This window comes from Homo sapiens, chromosome 1 (assembly GCF_000001405.40).
Source record: "Homo sapiens chromosome 1, GRCh38.p14 Primary Assembly".
In the NCBI taxonomy this organism is placed as follows: domain Eukaryota; kingdom Metazoa; phylum Chordata; class Mammalia; order Primates; family Hominidae; genus Homo; species Homo sapiens.
The window spans coordinates 226931616-226945137 of record NC_000001.11 but is presented as its reverse complement, the minus strand read 5'-3'; the positions used below and the strand labels follow the sequence as shown (position 1 = coordinate 226945137).

General features: G+C 46.9%; 1 protein-coding gene across 10 annotated transcripts in view, besides 6 other annotated features; it reads right to left on the bottom strand.

Moving 5' to 3' along the window:
* Positions 1-4844, bottom strand: part of COQ8A (coenzyme Q8A) — a 47251-nt gene extending 42407 nt beyond the window's left edge. For 2 of the 10 annotated variants that reach the window (XM_011544238.2, NM_020247.5), the window contains exon 1: positions 4739-4844. The gene's annotated coding sequence lies outside the window, so the exon portion shown is untranslated. Of the gene's footprint in view, positions 1-1734; positions 1824-4230; positions 4658-4738 lie in introns of those variants that run through there. The other 8 variants (XM_047425732.1, XM_011544239.3, XM_047425745.1 and 5 more) reach the window with 8 other exon arrangements.
* Positions 4619-4778: a silencer, noted in NCBI's record as "silent region_1896". NCBI's record gives its function as "represses an Ori minimal core promoter by ATAC-STARR-seq in GM12878 lymphoblastoid cells {active_cell/tissue: GM12878}" and the evidence as "EXISTENCE:reporter gene assay evidence [ECO:0000049][PMID:35858748]".
* Positions 4829-5138: a silencer, noted in NCBI's record as "silent region_1895". NCBI's record gives its function as "represses an Ori minimal core promoter by ATAC-STARR-seq in GM12878 lymphoblastoid cells {active_cell/tissue: GM12878}" and the evidence as "EXISTENCE:reporter gene assay evidence [ECO:0000049][PMID:35858748]".
* Positions 5409-5508: an enhancer, noted in NCBI's record as "active region_2675". NCBI's record gives its function as "activates an Ori minimal core promoter by ATAC-STARR-seq in GM12878 lymphoblastoid cells {active_cell/tissue: GM12878}" and the evidence as "EXISTENCE:reporter gene assay evidence [ECO:0000049][PMID:35858748]".
* Positions 5409-6174: a biological region, named in NCBI's record as "H3K27ac-H3K4me1 hESC enhancer GRCh37_chr1:227126665-227127356".
* Positions 5483-6174: an enhancer, noted in NCBI's record as "H3K27ac-H3K4me1 hESC enhancer chr1:227126665-227127356 (GRCh37/hg19 assembly coordinates)". NCBI's record gives its function as "activates a minimal SCP1, AML or CMV promoter by ChIP-STARR-seq in primed H9 embryonic stem cells {active_cell/tissue: H9 hESC(primed)}" and the evidence as "EXISTENCE:reporter gene assay evidence [ECO:0000049][PMID:30033119]".
* Positions 5699-5748: an enhancer, noted in NCBI's record as "active region_2674". NCBI's record gives its function as "activates an Ori minimal core promoter by ATAC-STARR-seq in GM12878 lymphoblastoid cells {active_cell/tissue: GM12878}" and the evidence as "EXISTENCE:reporter gene assay evidence [ECO:0000049][PMID:35858748]".

Below are 13522 nucleotides of genomic sequence, written 5' to 3'. Positions count from 1 at the left end.
GCCATGCATCCCTGGAGTGCAGAAAGTCAGCAAGGAGAGCACACACAGGGCTGTTCTGAAAGCTGGGATGTAACGGGGTCTAGAAAGAGTAATGCTCAAAACAACGCAGATACTGATCCTTCTAGAGATTCTATGAAATAGTGAGAGGTAAGAGGCAGACCAACCCTGCTGTCTTCAGAAAGGCAGAGAGGGGCGCTACAGCCTCTCTGTCTCTCAGGAAACACACCTCTGGGAAATGGAAAATTCCAGTGGACGGTGCAGAGGTAGGGAGAGATAAGGGACTGGGCTTTTCCAAATGACCCGGAAACACCTACCTTCCTGCCTCCCTTCTACACATACACACACACTCTCTCTCTCTCACTCTCTCTCTCTCACTCTCTCTCTCTCACTCTCTCTCTCTCTCTCTCTCTCTCTCTCTCTCTCTCTCTCTCTCTCTCTCTCTCTCAGGGTACAACTCCTCAAAGGATGCTGAGGCACCTAAGGCTCTTCAAGCCCCCACCCCTGGCCCTCTCACATTAAACAGAAGGCCTCGACCCCTCTTTAGCGGACCTTTGTTACTCCAGAAATGGGGGCAACCAGATAGGAGGGCCCGCACATTCTTGGCCACATCTCTCAGACCCTTCCCCTGCCTCTGTCCAATCTCCTCCCACACTGACCATCCCTCCTCCTTCCCGCAACAAGACCTTGCCCCTGACCTATTTTTTTCTTTTGCCTTCAATCATAAAAGCCCTCCCCTGAAGCCCACAAGCCCACTCTCTGCTCTCCTGTACCAAACATTTAAATAAACCTCCCATAGGCTCTGCTTCTCCTCCACCCTCTGGACATGGCTACCATCTCCCAAGGATGGAGTGCACTTGCCATCTTCCCTGCTCCCTCGGCACACACTTTCTGGCCCCAACCCCAAGCTGCCCCTCTGTGACACCTGAGGGCTCAAGCCAGTGGGTCTCCTCAGCCACCCCCTGCCCCACAGTGTTCCCTGCTGGCCCCACACTCTTCCCAGAAGCCCTCCCTCCTCCCTCCTCTCTGGCCTCACCTCCTCAGCTTCCTCCCCCAGCTCCTCTTTCTCCACCTACTCCAAGGCCTGGGAGTTCCCAGGCTGGTCCTCGACACCCCTGCCTCCCTGCCATCTGCACTGGCTCCTGGGGTGCCAGAGCCCCTCCACAGGCTCTGCACTGATGCCTCCCCACACTCAGGCCAGGCAGGACCTCTCAACAACCGAACCCATTTCCAGAACAAACCAAGTTACACACACACATACCGCATCACCACTTCAAAGACCCACAGGCAACTGGAAAGGGGTGCAGGGAAATTTCGGAGGGTGATGAAATTGTTCTATAGCTTGATTGTGGTAGGGGTTATGTGACTATGTGCGTTTGTCAAACTGCGCAGAACTGCACACTAAGAAGGATGAATTTACCGTATGCAAATTATATCAAACAGGATGGAAAGAAGTCCCATAGGCTCCCATCATGTCTAAAACTAAGATGACCACCTTCTCCCAAACCAGCTCTTCCTCCATCAACCAGCTCCTCCCCCTGATTAGAAATCTCAGCCATATATCCAGTCAGGTAGTCAGTCTAGAAATTCCACCTGCATAAATTTCTTTGAATCCATGCCTTCAGTTCTATCTCCCCTTGGGGACTCGGGCCATCCTCACTTCTCACAAACCACCTCCGTGGGGCTCCCACCCCTCCATATGTGCAACTCCAGAAAGAGCAGGACCCTCGAACTCACTCACTCCCACCAGCTCTCCTTTCCACTGGCTCTCCCGAGTTCCTGGCTGTTGCTTAACAGGAATGACAGAAGTATCTCCAGATGCCACTGTCAAATCAAGACAACTCTCTGTCTAAATATTCCTGTCTAATTTTGCACACAGCTCTTGTTTCAACGGACAAAGATAATGACTCAGTGTCCATGGTTCTTACTGGAAAATTATCCTGCCAAGTTTTGAGCTTCCCAATAATAGCCTTCTTTAAAATTCTCTTTGAGAAAGGAGAAGTGACCTTCCTTCCTGATCCTTTTCTACAGGCAACAAAGGGCACCCAAAAGATCCCCTAACTGACCAAGGAGTGTTACAGGAAAATCCTGATACATCCCCACAGGATCAAAACAGCAAGAAAAAGAAACTCACTGAATAGGCTTAGGATGGTTTTCCTTGCCCTGTGCAAGAAATCCCTGTTTTTCAGTTTTTCTGCGTGCCAATCAGTTTGGGACTTAGAAATTTGGGGCATAAATTCTGGATTACACTGAAGGCAAAATTTAGACTCAGAAGTAAAGCATCTTTCTCCACACACACGTAAATATGTCTCTTTGGTGAGCAGGCTGACCAAAGGAGAAAAGAAAAAGAAAAGGTTCACTGACCTTGACACTGATGCTTCAAGCAACTACAAAAGAACTCCACAAATCATACCCATGTCCACGCTGCTGTGTAAAAATACACATACGTATGTTTGAAATGCACCCAGCCACTCACTCCCTGAAGATGCAGGCCCAGCCCCTCCCACATCACAAGACACAGAGCTGTCTGAGCAAAAAGTGAGGATGAATAAAGCATCTCCTTGAAGAACCACTTGTGGATAGCTGAGTTAGCCTTTGTGCCAGCACTCAGCTTAAGCATGTTTCCTATTTTAAAACTGGCCCATAGTTATTCATGTGCAAATCCCCTAGTCTTGCAGTATCCCCGAGAAGCTACCAGTCTTCTAATTCTCCAGCACCCCCAACCCAGCCAGTCACTGCCACACATTTAGCAGGCACAGTACATGCCCATGGGTGTCTACCTCCTAACTTTCTGCTTGCAGGTTTTGCCTCTGCCCTCCTAGGTGCACAGGTAGCCCAATCTACATGGCTTTTACCACTGGGTTAGGGCAGGAGGCATAACACTACCCTTTGCCTAAACCTCTCACCTACTCACGGGCAGGTCCCAGAGGGACCCCTGGCAGCACAGGACAACTCTTTTTAGAGTTTTACCTCAGTGGTTCTCAATCAAGGGAGATTTTGCCCTCCAGGGGACACGTGGCAATGTCTGGAAACACTTTTGATGGTCACAACGGCTAGAAGGGGTGGGGAGCGGTGCTAGTCTAGTAGACAGAAGCCAGGGATACTGCTACACATCCTACAATGTATAGGCCAGGTCTCCCACAACGAAGAATTATGGGTCCAAAATGTCATTAGTCCACAGGTTGAAAAACTTTGTCTTAGATAACACACTGGCTCTGAGGGAGGTGCCCATTCTGCCTGGTTCACTTTTCCTTTGAGTTGCTCAACATTAGGCCCCAAATCATTACGATTCTGCATAGTCCGCACCATTTGCAAGGCTGAACAAAACACTCTAAGCCATTGCCTGAGCCTTTTTTTTTTTTTTTTGAGATTGAGTCTCGCTCTGTTGCCCAGAGGGGAGTGCACTGGCGCCATCTTGGCTCACTGCAACCTCTGCCTCCCAGGTTCAAGCAATTCTCCCACCTCAGCCTCCTGAGTAGCTGGGATTATAGGCGCCCGCCACCACATCCGGCTAATTTTCGTATTTTTTTTTTTTCGGTAGAGACGGGGTTTCACCATTTTGGCCAGGCTGGTCTCGAACTCCTGACCTACGGTGATCCACCCGCCTCGGACTCCCAAAGTGCTGGGATTACAGGCGTGAGCCACCGCACCCAGCCGCCTGAGTCTTACAGATGCTGCTCCTGTAGCTCCCCTTTTGTCTCTCCTCGGGAGAAAGGCCTTCCTCCAAAAGAAGAGTCTCCCAAGAGCCCTCCTGCCAGGATGACCTACCCATCCACAGCGTGACAACTGGCAGGCTGGCATCAAGGAATGTTCAAATCCTTTGGCAATCAGGTAGGCCTGGCATGACCAGCTACTCAATCCTGTCACGTAGATCCAAGGCCCAAGTGAACGTGCACAAGTTTTTCAACAGGCTGTAGGCCCGACTCAGGCTGGAAGACTGCACACAAGCCTCTCACCCTTCAGGAACCTGACATCTCTCACCCAAATGGGGAGTCCCAACACCCAAACCTGCCCCTGCAGCACTCCCCATCGCCCAAAGAGGGTTTGGCAGAGGGGCTGTTACCTCTGTGCAATGGGTGAGAATGAGCCTCGGAAAGGTTCGAGTTTAGGGGAGTAAGCCCAAACCACTCACAAGACCCCCCAGAGTTTGGAGAAGAGGAAAGGCCAAAGAAAAGCGAAAGGAAGAAAGGATCAAAAAGGATCCCCTGTCCCAAGTTCACACAAAATTCCCACCTGCGAAGCCCAACAGCTGGCTCCAGCCAAGGAAGTCAAAGTTCTCACCCAAACCTGCAGCCAGCGGCAACGAGCCTAGAGCCCCAGACACACAGTGCAAGGGGGTCTGGGAGTGAAGAACAACATTATTAGAAAGCGAAGCATCAAAGCTGTATTGGCGACCAAAGGGCATGGGCAACGGGCATTCGGCAGCGGGAAGGCGGTCGGGCAAGCAGCGGGCGTGTTCCAGGGACCCAAGGCTCTGCACGTGGCCCTCGTCTCCTCCCCGAAGCAGGAACGAGGGGCTGAGGTGGACCCAGGGACGTGAGACGGCTGCAGAGGACCCACCCTGCAACTGAGGCGCCCCCACTGCGTCCGGACCTGAGGCTCGCGGCCAGCGAAACTCGCGGGGAAGCTGCGCTGTCACATGAAGAGAATGCAAGAAGGGCTGAGGTGGGTGTTGACCCCAGCTCTGGCCGCAGCCAGACGGCGCCTGGGCACGCGGCGGGCCGGCGGGTGGCAGCCTTACCTGGCTGCAGGAAGCTGGGATCCGCGGTCACCTTCTAGCCGCCTCCGCGCCCGCCTCTGCGCGCTGGCCACCGCGCTGACGCCCGCCACGCGCTCCGGATCTGTTTACCAACTCGCCCGCTCCGGGGGAGCCCCAGCTCACAAGCCCCGCCCCGCGGGCCGCTCCCATTGGCTGCACCGCCGTCCGCCTGCCGAATGCCGCTCTGCGCGTGGGAGCGTGCTCGGCCCGTGCTCCCGGCCCGTAGCCAATCGCGACCGAGAGCGGAGCAAGAGGAGCCAATGGGAGGCTACCTTAGCGGACAGGGCCCTCCTGTTCTCCTTTTCCCCACCTCCCGGCTACCTTTCTCTCTAGCAAACCGGGGCTGGAGGCCTGGCTTTGGAGTTGCTGGCCTGCGCGCATGCGCCTTGAGAACGGGAGCCTTTTTCACTGCGATGCAGTGTGCGTGGCCGCAAAGGCACCCCTGCGTGCTTGTTGCCTCCAGACTGGTGCTTGCTGGGCCTCTGCGCGGGCCTGGGAGGGGAGGCTGTGGACCAAGCAGACGCGACTGCGGGGCGTGGAGGGTGCCGCCGCTTTAAGGACCGGGCGATGCCTGTTCTTTGCTCCTCTCTATGTAGCAAGAGCCCCTTGCCCAGGGTCCACAAAAAGCACTCCGAGGAGGGGAAACGCGGCGGGCAAGGCCGCGCACTTCCACTTCCGGCCCTTCGGCCGGGGCCCTTCAGGCTAAGGATGCTTGTTTTGTGTGGCGCCATCCTCAAAACAGGAAGCCTCTGCCACCCGCGCCCCGAGGGTAGAGAGATAGTACCCTCACCGGAGTCGCTGTCCGCCCGCCGGTCTCGTCGGCGTGCAGGTGCCCGCAGTCGCTGACAGCCGGGGTTTTGGAGGGCGCGCAGCCAACACGGGATGGAGCTCGGGTGCAGCCCTCGGCGTCCCCGCCGAGCAGCCCTGGGAGGCACCGCCACCAGCAGCACGCAGATTTGCCCCGTCACTCCCTCCTTAACGAGAAAAGGAACGTATGAGCCAAAGTCGGCTCGACAATTTCCACTCAGATGACCCCAAACACTGGTCTGCAGCTCTGTTAATCGTTCTTGTGGAAAAAAGAAATAACAATTTAGTTTTTCATGAAATGAAATACTCAAGCCAAAGGATTGTTCCTTATTCTGAGCCTCCCCCCGCTTTTTTTTTTTTTTTTTTTTTGGTATTGTGAAACGAAAATTCACTCTGCCAAAAGGAAAAAAAATTAAACTGAAAGCTGAGTCATGCAACTGCCTTTCCTTTTGTTCCTAAGCAGATAGCTACAGATTAAAGGTGAAGTATCTCCACTCTATGTTCACCTTATCTTGTGTAAAGTGCCGATTTACTGAGCGCCAAATACATAACTGTTGCCCTACCTGCTCCCTTTATCGCAACATGTGGCTTCAATAATGTGAACATACCTTCCATCTTCCCCCTCCAGCCTGCTTTTCCCCTTTAAATATTGAAGCCCTCAAAATCATCTTTGGAGAAAGGCACAGACCTGTCTTCTGGGCGCGAGTCCTTCACCTTCGCAACATAAATTTCTAAACTGATACAGGTACTTTTCGGTTCACAAATATTGACATTTAACTTAATTGAAAGTCGTTTGTTTTATATTATCACTTGGAAAAATTTAAAGTTAGCTGTTCTATGTTGATGCCTAAAATTGGGGATAGGGGCCTGCTTTATTATAATGAAATCCAGAAGTGAACCTAATTTCACAGTCCCCCATCGGCTCCCCAGAGATCTGCCTGAGTTCCCAAGAACAGAATTCTAAGTGTGTGTGATATGGGCGAACACAAGCTCTGTGTCAGGCTCCGTTCTTCCTAGGGGTAGGGGAGGCCTTTCTTCCAAGGAGAATGGAGACTGTGCCTTGTGGCGTCTGTGGCTGGGCACTGGTCGGCTGTTGGGTGCTCCTCTCTGCACATTCACATGCCCTCCCCGCAGTCCATGTTCTGCCTCCCCCATCTCCACCACACTAAATACAAAGTAAATTTTAAAGGACAATTAAGGAGTTATTTTGGCTAAAGTTTCAAGTAACTGCCCCAAACAGTTGACAACTTGCCTTGATTAGGTCAGCTGGCTCCCTTTCTCCACATAGGAGAAAAAGACCAAGCCTCAAGGCCTTTCAAGGGTGGCCGTTGCTTCCTCCTACAGTAACTGTTCCCTTACACGGTTATGCTGTTCCCTCCCTGTTTCCTCCAAGCTCTCCCAGCCTACTGACCCAGACCACAGTCCATGGAATAAGAGAGTTCCTGGTTCGTTACTTCCTGAATCTTACGAACTCTAGCCCATCAGATTTCAGCTGGATGAGAATGTGATTGTCATCAACTCCTGCTTCTGCTAAGTGGGGGAAGGATGTGGTGCTTCAGTTTCACAAACATGGGGCAGGAATTGGTGGCTTCCATGCTAGCTCAGTCCCACTCCACCAGCAATGCCAAGGCCAGCTTCTCTCCTAAAGTACCTTGAAGACAAGCATAACCCACCACCACAAACATTAGTTTTTCTTCAAGGACTGCCAGTCTGATTTACTAGAGAAATGACCTCCAGCTAGTCTATGCAAAGACAGGATCTTCCTCAAATTAATACGACTTTGACCTTACTCCCTGTGAAATAATGACCTCAGCTTTATTATACTAAAGACACATTTCTTTCTTTCTTGACCTGGCTTTTAGTGCAAAGATTTTCCCTGCAAATTATTTTTCAAGTGTGATAATGGGATTATAGTTAGATTTTTTAAGAGAGTCGTTATGTTTTAGAGATACACATTATCAGATGTAATAATATTATATATGGGATCATCTTCAAAATATTACAGGACGGGGGAAGTGAACAGGCCATGGGTTTCTTTACATTACATGCCTATGTGACAGGTGAATTTCTACCCTGGCTTACCTTTAGGAAACAGGATACCTGTGGTCAGAAGGTGCCCCACATGACCAAACACTGAGATCCAAGAAGGCAGCTCACTTGACCTCTGAAGAACTTCTAACTTCATTATAATCTACTTTCCATGCTAAATGACATTCCCACCAGCACCGTGACAGTTGATAATCACCATGACAATGACCAAAGGAAACCATAAAAGGACAAAAAAAAAGGAAGGCAATACTCTAGTTTTGAGAAGTTCTCTGTCCATTCCCAAAAAAGACATGAATATTATCCCCTAGCTTTTAATACCCAACCCCTTCATTAAAGAGGCCCTATATTTGTGACTTCCTGACTTTCACAAGCTGAGAAGTTAATTCATGAACCAAGCTCCTGCTTCTCAATTCCCTGGCCATCCAACAAGGCCTGCACTGCTTGACACTTGCTTTTGTTTTTCCAAATTGGCTTTGGGACACCAAAGAGGGAAAGACTCCATTTTATGGGGGACCAGCTTTGTTGGTAACAAGTTGATAATAGTGGAAGATGAATGATGAGTCTACGGGGGGTTCATTATATTATTGCCTATATATGTTTCCAATTCTCTATAATAAAAAGTTTTTTTAAAAAAACAAGGCACTTTGGGAGGCCGAGGCGGGCGGATCACGAGGTCAGGAGATCGAGACCATCCTGGCTAACACGGTGAAACCCCGTCTCTACTAAAAATACAAAAAATTAGCCGGGCGTGGTAGCGGGCGCCTGTAGTCCCAGCTACTCGGGAGGCTGAGGCAGGAGAATGGCGTGAACCCGGGAGGCGGAGCTTGCAGTGAGCCGAGATCGCGCCACTGCACTCCAGCCTGGGCGACAGAGCGAGACTCCGTCTCAAAAAAAAAAAAAAAAAAAAAAAAAAAGGTATCTGCAAAGAACACCCAGCCTGAAGATAACACTAATAATGTGGGCAGGGTGAACAAGAAGAAAACAGTGAATAGGCCGGGCGCGGTGGCTCACGCCTGTAATCCCAGCACTTTGGGAGGCCGAGGCAGGCGGATCACGAGGTCAGGAGATCGAGACCATTCTGGCTAACACGGTGAAACCCCGTCTCTACTAAAAATACAAAAAATTAGCCGGGTGAGGTGGCGGGCACCTGTAGTCCCAGCTACTTGGGAGGCTGAGGCAGGAGAATCGCGTGAACCCCGTGGGGCAGAGCCTGCAGTGAGCCGAGATCACGCCACTGCACTCCAGCCTGGGTGACAGCGAGAGTCCGTCTCAAAAAAAATTAAAAAATAAAAAATAAAACAGTGAAGAACAGTCATTACTATTCTTGTTAACCTCAGTACAAGGCAAGGGCAAGGATAGATCTAACTGTAGCTGATAAGAACACAGCCTTTCAAATTTTGAATAAAATCCAAAATTATCAAGAAAACATTTGAAACATAGATTTCATTCATGGAGTACCTCACTCTGATTGTTGTGCCTGAAAGTATTAGTTAATGATCATATACTGCCATCTTAGTTAAGATATTTTTTTAAAATGTATCTGTGAGTACAGTATTATGTAATATAAACCCACTCAAACAAATGTGTGTTTGTGTGTATTTTCCCAATAACCAAAGATTCCTGTGCCTGGGACTTTAGGGTGAAAAGTATGATGTTCCAATAACTTTCCTCTGATCTTCAAACTTCTCCCTTAATAACAGTGACAGAGGAGACAATCAGTTTTTCCCTGCTGCATTCCCATGAGCAAACAAACCCGTTGAAAAATCTCCTGCGCTCACCTCCATTCTCGTTGCCCTCATTTTCAGCAAAATTCCTGGAATAATTATCCATATTCATTATCTCCACTTCCTTTCCTCCTATTCTACCTAAAGCAATCTAGTCAGGTTTGCCACCTGTCCCCACCATTCCCCTAAAACTGCTCATCAGTGACCTTTCTGTTGCCCAATGAAATAGTCATTCTCAGATCTCATCTTAAACTATCAGCTACATTTGACACAGTTGATCACTCCTCCCTCTTTCTTATGGGTTGCCCTGGGGATTATAATGAACATCTTATAACATTCTAGTTTGGATTAATGGCAACTTAATTTCAATAATATACAAAAGCTTTGCTCCTATATAGCTCCATTCTCCCCTCTTTTGTGCTGTTACTGTCCTACAGATTACATTTTTATCCATTATATGCCCATCACGTTTATAATTATTGCATATTTATGCTGCCTTTTATATTTACCTATGTAATTTCCTTTACCAGTATTCTTCATTTCATGTGAATTTGACTTAATGCCTCAAGTCCTTTCAGCCCGAAGAGCACCTTTTATTTCTTACAGGGAAGATTTGCTAAGTGATGAATTTCCTCACTTTGTTTATCTAGGAATGCCTTGATTTCTCCTTTATTTCTGAGGGATTCTTTTGCTGGATATAGAATGCTTAGTTGACAGGTATGTTTGTTTTTTTTTTTTTCTGTAGCATTTTATGTCATATCATAGCCTTCTTGGCCTCCAGAGATCAAATGTTAATCTTATTGAGAATCCTGATACACGGTGAGTTGGTTTTTTTGTTTTTTTGCTGATTTCAAGACCCTCTCTTTGCCTTTGGCTTTCAACAGTTTGATTATCATGTGTCTAGGTGTGAATCTCTGAGTTTATCCTATTTGAAGTTCAGTGTGCTTCTTGGACATGCTTATTTGTACTTTTTATCAAAATTGGAAGTTCTTTTCTACTTCTTCAAATATTCTTTCTGTCCTTTTTCTCTCCTTCTCCTTCTGGGACTCCCATTATAAGTATGTTTGTATGCTTGATGGAACCCACAGATTTTTGAGGCTCTGTTCATTTTTTCCCTTCATTCTTTTTTTTTCTGTTCCTCAAACTGGATAATCTCAATTGACCCATTTTCAATTTTGCTTATTCTTTCTCCAGCCTGCTCAAATGTGCTGTTGAGCCCCACTAGATTTTTCATTTCAGTTATTATATTTTTCAACTCCAGAATACCTGTTCGATGATCTTAAAAATAATTTATATGTTTTTATTGATATTCCCTATTTTGTGAGACAAAATTTTTATACTTTTATTTTGTTCTTTAGACATGGTTTCATTTATTTCTTTGAATATATTTAAAGTAGCTGACTTAAAGTCTTTGTCTAATAAATCTAATGGCAGAGACATTATCTGTGTTCCTATTGATTGCATTTTCCCCTGTGCATGGGCCATACTTTCTTGTATCTTTGCATGTCTCATACTTTTTGTTGAAAACTGGACATTTTAAATAATATAATGTACATCTCTGGAAATCAGACTCTACTCCCTCCCCAGGGTTTGTAGTTATTGCTCCTTGTTATAGTTGTTCTTTGTTTAGTGACTTTCCTAATTTGTAAAGTCATCATGATGTTACTGCTCCACAGATAATATACATATATGAAATTCTCACATTTTGCACACCCAAAATCAACTAGTTAACTTTAATAATTTCATCTTTTATTTATAAATGACACATCAAATGTAGTCTTCATTTATAATACCTGGAAAATCATTTTATACACTGGTTGCAATATTTTCTCATTAACAATAGATTCTAAAGTGGAAGGGCTGAATTTTCTATATGAGAAGTTGATTAATCACAGTTTTCAGATCTGGAGAAAAAGTCCTGAAGCATATTTGTAGAATAATAATTTTCATGCTCCACATTACCTAGCTGTGTTCAACAGCAAGATTCTTTTTGATTCTTGGGCCATTTGGGGCATTAATTAAACATGGTTAAGAATAAAAACAGGCCGGGCACAGTGGCTCACGCCTGTAATCCCAGCACTTTGGGAGGCTGAGGTGGGTGGAATACCTGAGGTCAGGAGTTCAAGACCAGCCTGGCCAACATGGCAAAACCCTGTCTCTACTAAAAAAAAAAAAAAAATGAGCCAGGCATAGTGGTGCATACCTGTAATCCCAGCTACTCCAGAGGCTGAGGCAGGAGAATCACTTCAACCTGGGAGGCGGAGGTTGCAGTGAGCTGAGATCACACCACCGCACTCCAGCCTGGGCTACAGAGTGAGAATCCATCTCAAAAAAAAAAAAAAGAATAAAAACAAATTATAACTGTACAAGCACAAGAAGAGGTGTTTTCAAGCAGAAAGATCCTTAATCAACCAAGTCACAGCCTGGACACCTGCTCTCCATGGCTGTCTACTGTGTCCACTCCACACCCCAGGAACTCTCAGAGTTTTGTCATAATGGGAAAACAATTGCTTAAAAATTATTCTATGGGCCGGGTACAGTGGCTCATGCCTATAATCCGAGCACTTTGGGAGGCCGAGGCAGGTCTATCACCTGAGGTCAGGAGTTCAAGACCAGCCTGACCAAAATGATGAAACCCCGTCTCTACTAAAAATACAAATTTAGCCAGGCGTGGTGGTGCATGCCTGTAATCCTAGCTACTTCAGCTACTTGGGAGGCTGAGGAAGGAGAATCGCTTGAACTTAGGAGGTGGAGATTGCAGTGAGCCCAGATTGCACCATTGCACTCCAACCTAGTCAACGAGAGCGAAACTCCATCTCAAAAAGAAACAATTATGCATTAAATATAAGAAAGTAGGAGTCAAAACAGATTCCACTATTGCTTTATTTTATTTTTCGAGACAGGGTCTCACTGTCACCCAGGCTGGACGGAGTGCAGTAGCACAGTCATGGCTCACTACAGCCTGAACCTCCTGGGCTCAAGTGATCCTCCCACCTCAGCCTCCTGAATAGCTGGGACTACAGGCAAGCACTACCATACTCGACTATTTTATTTTAATTTTTTTTGTCAAGACAGAGTCTCACTATGTTGCCCTGGCTGGTCTCAAACTCCTGGGCTCAATTGATCTGTCTGCCTCTGCCTCCCAAAGTATAGGTGTGAGCCACCAGGCCTGCCCACTATTGTTTTAAATACACAAATTTCTCATTATACCTTTAAAAACCACTATTTGGGAAATGTTAGATTATGTGATCACTGGATTTCTTCTTCCCCTAAAACTTTTTTCTATTTTTAAAAACTCTTGGCCAGGCGCGGTGGCTCACGCCTGTAATCCCAGCACTTGGGGAGGCTGAGGTGGGCAGATCACAAGGTCAGGAGATCAAAACCATCCTGGCTAACACGGTGAAATCCCATCTCTACTAAAAATACAAAAAAAAAATTAGCCGGGCGTGGTGGCAGGCACCTGTAGTCCCAGCTACTCGGGAGGCTGAGGCAGGAGAATGGCATGAACCTGGGAGGCAGAGCTTGTAGTGAGCCAAGATCATGCCACTGCACTCCAGCCTGGGTGACAGAGCGAGACTCAGTCTCAAAAAAAAAAAAAAAAAAAAAAAAAACTCTTGTACATTTTAATTAATTGATTTCAATGTTTCATTAGGTAATAACACATTCATTTGAATATTTAAACATCTATTTTATAAAGGTTTGCAGTGAAGTCTTGCCTAATTCCATCCCTTTCCCACCCACTTCCCAACTTTCATGCCCCAAATTCCCTTGCCCTCCCACATAAACATCTTCCCTGTTATTGTTTCTTATCTCTTTTCAGTTTCTTTATACATAAACAAGCAAATACAAACCTATACTTTTATATTTTATACAAATGGCCTTACTATGCATTCAGTTCTTTTTTTTCATGTAACAATATAGTTTGAAGCTCTTTCCAGATCAGTACATAGAGAGCATCCTCATTCTTTTTGTCAGTATTATATGAATGAACCATAATTTATTTAACCAGTCTCCTGTCCTACAGACTGTTTCTATTATTTTGGTATTACAAACGGTGCTGCAGTAAATAACCCTGTCTGTTTTCAAAATGTGATTGACGGCCAAGCGTGGCGGCTCACGTCTGTAATCCCAGCACTTCGGGAGGCCGAGGCGGGCAGATCACAAGGTCAGGAGATCGAGACCATCC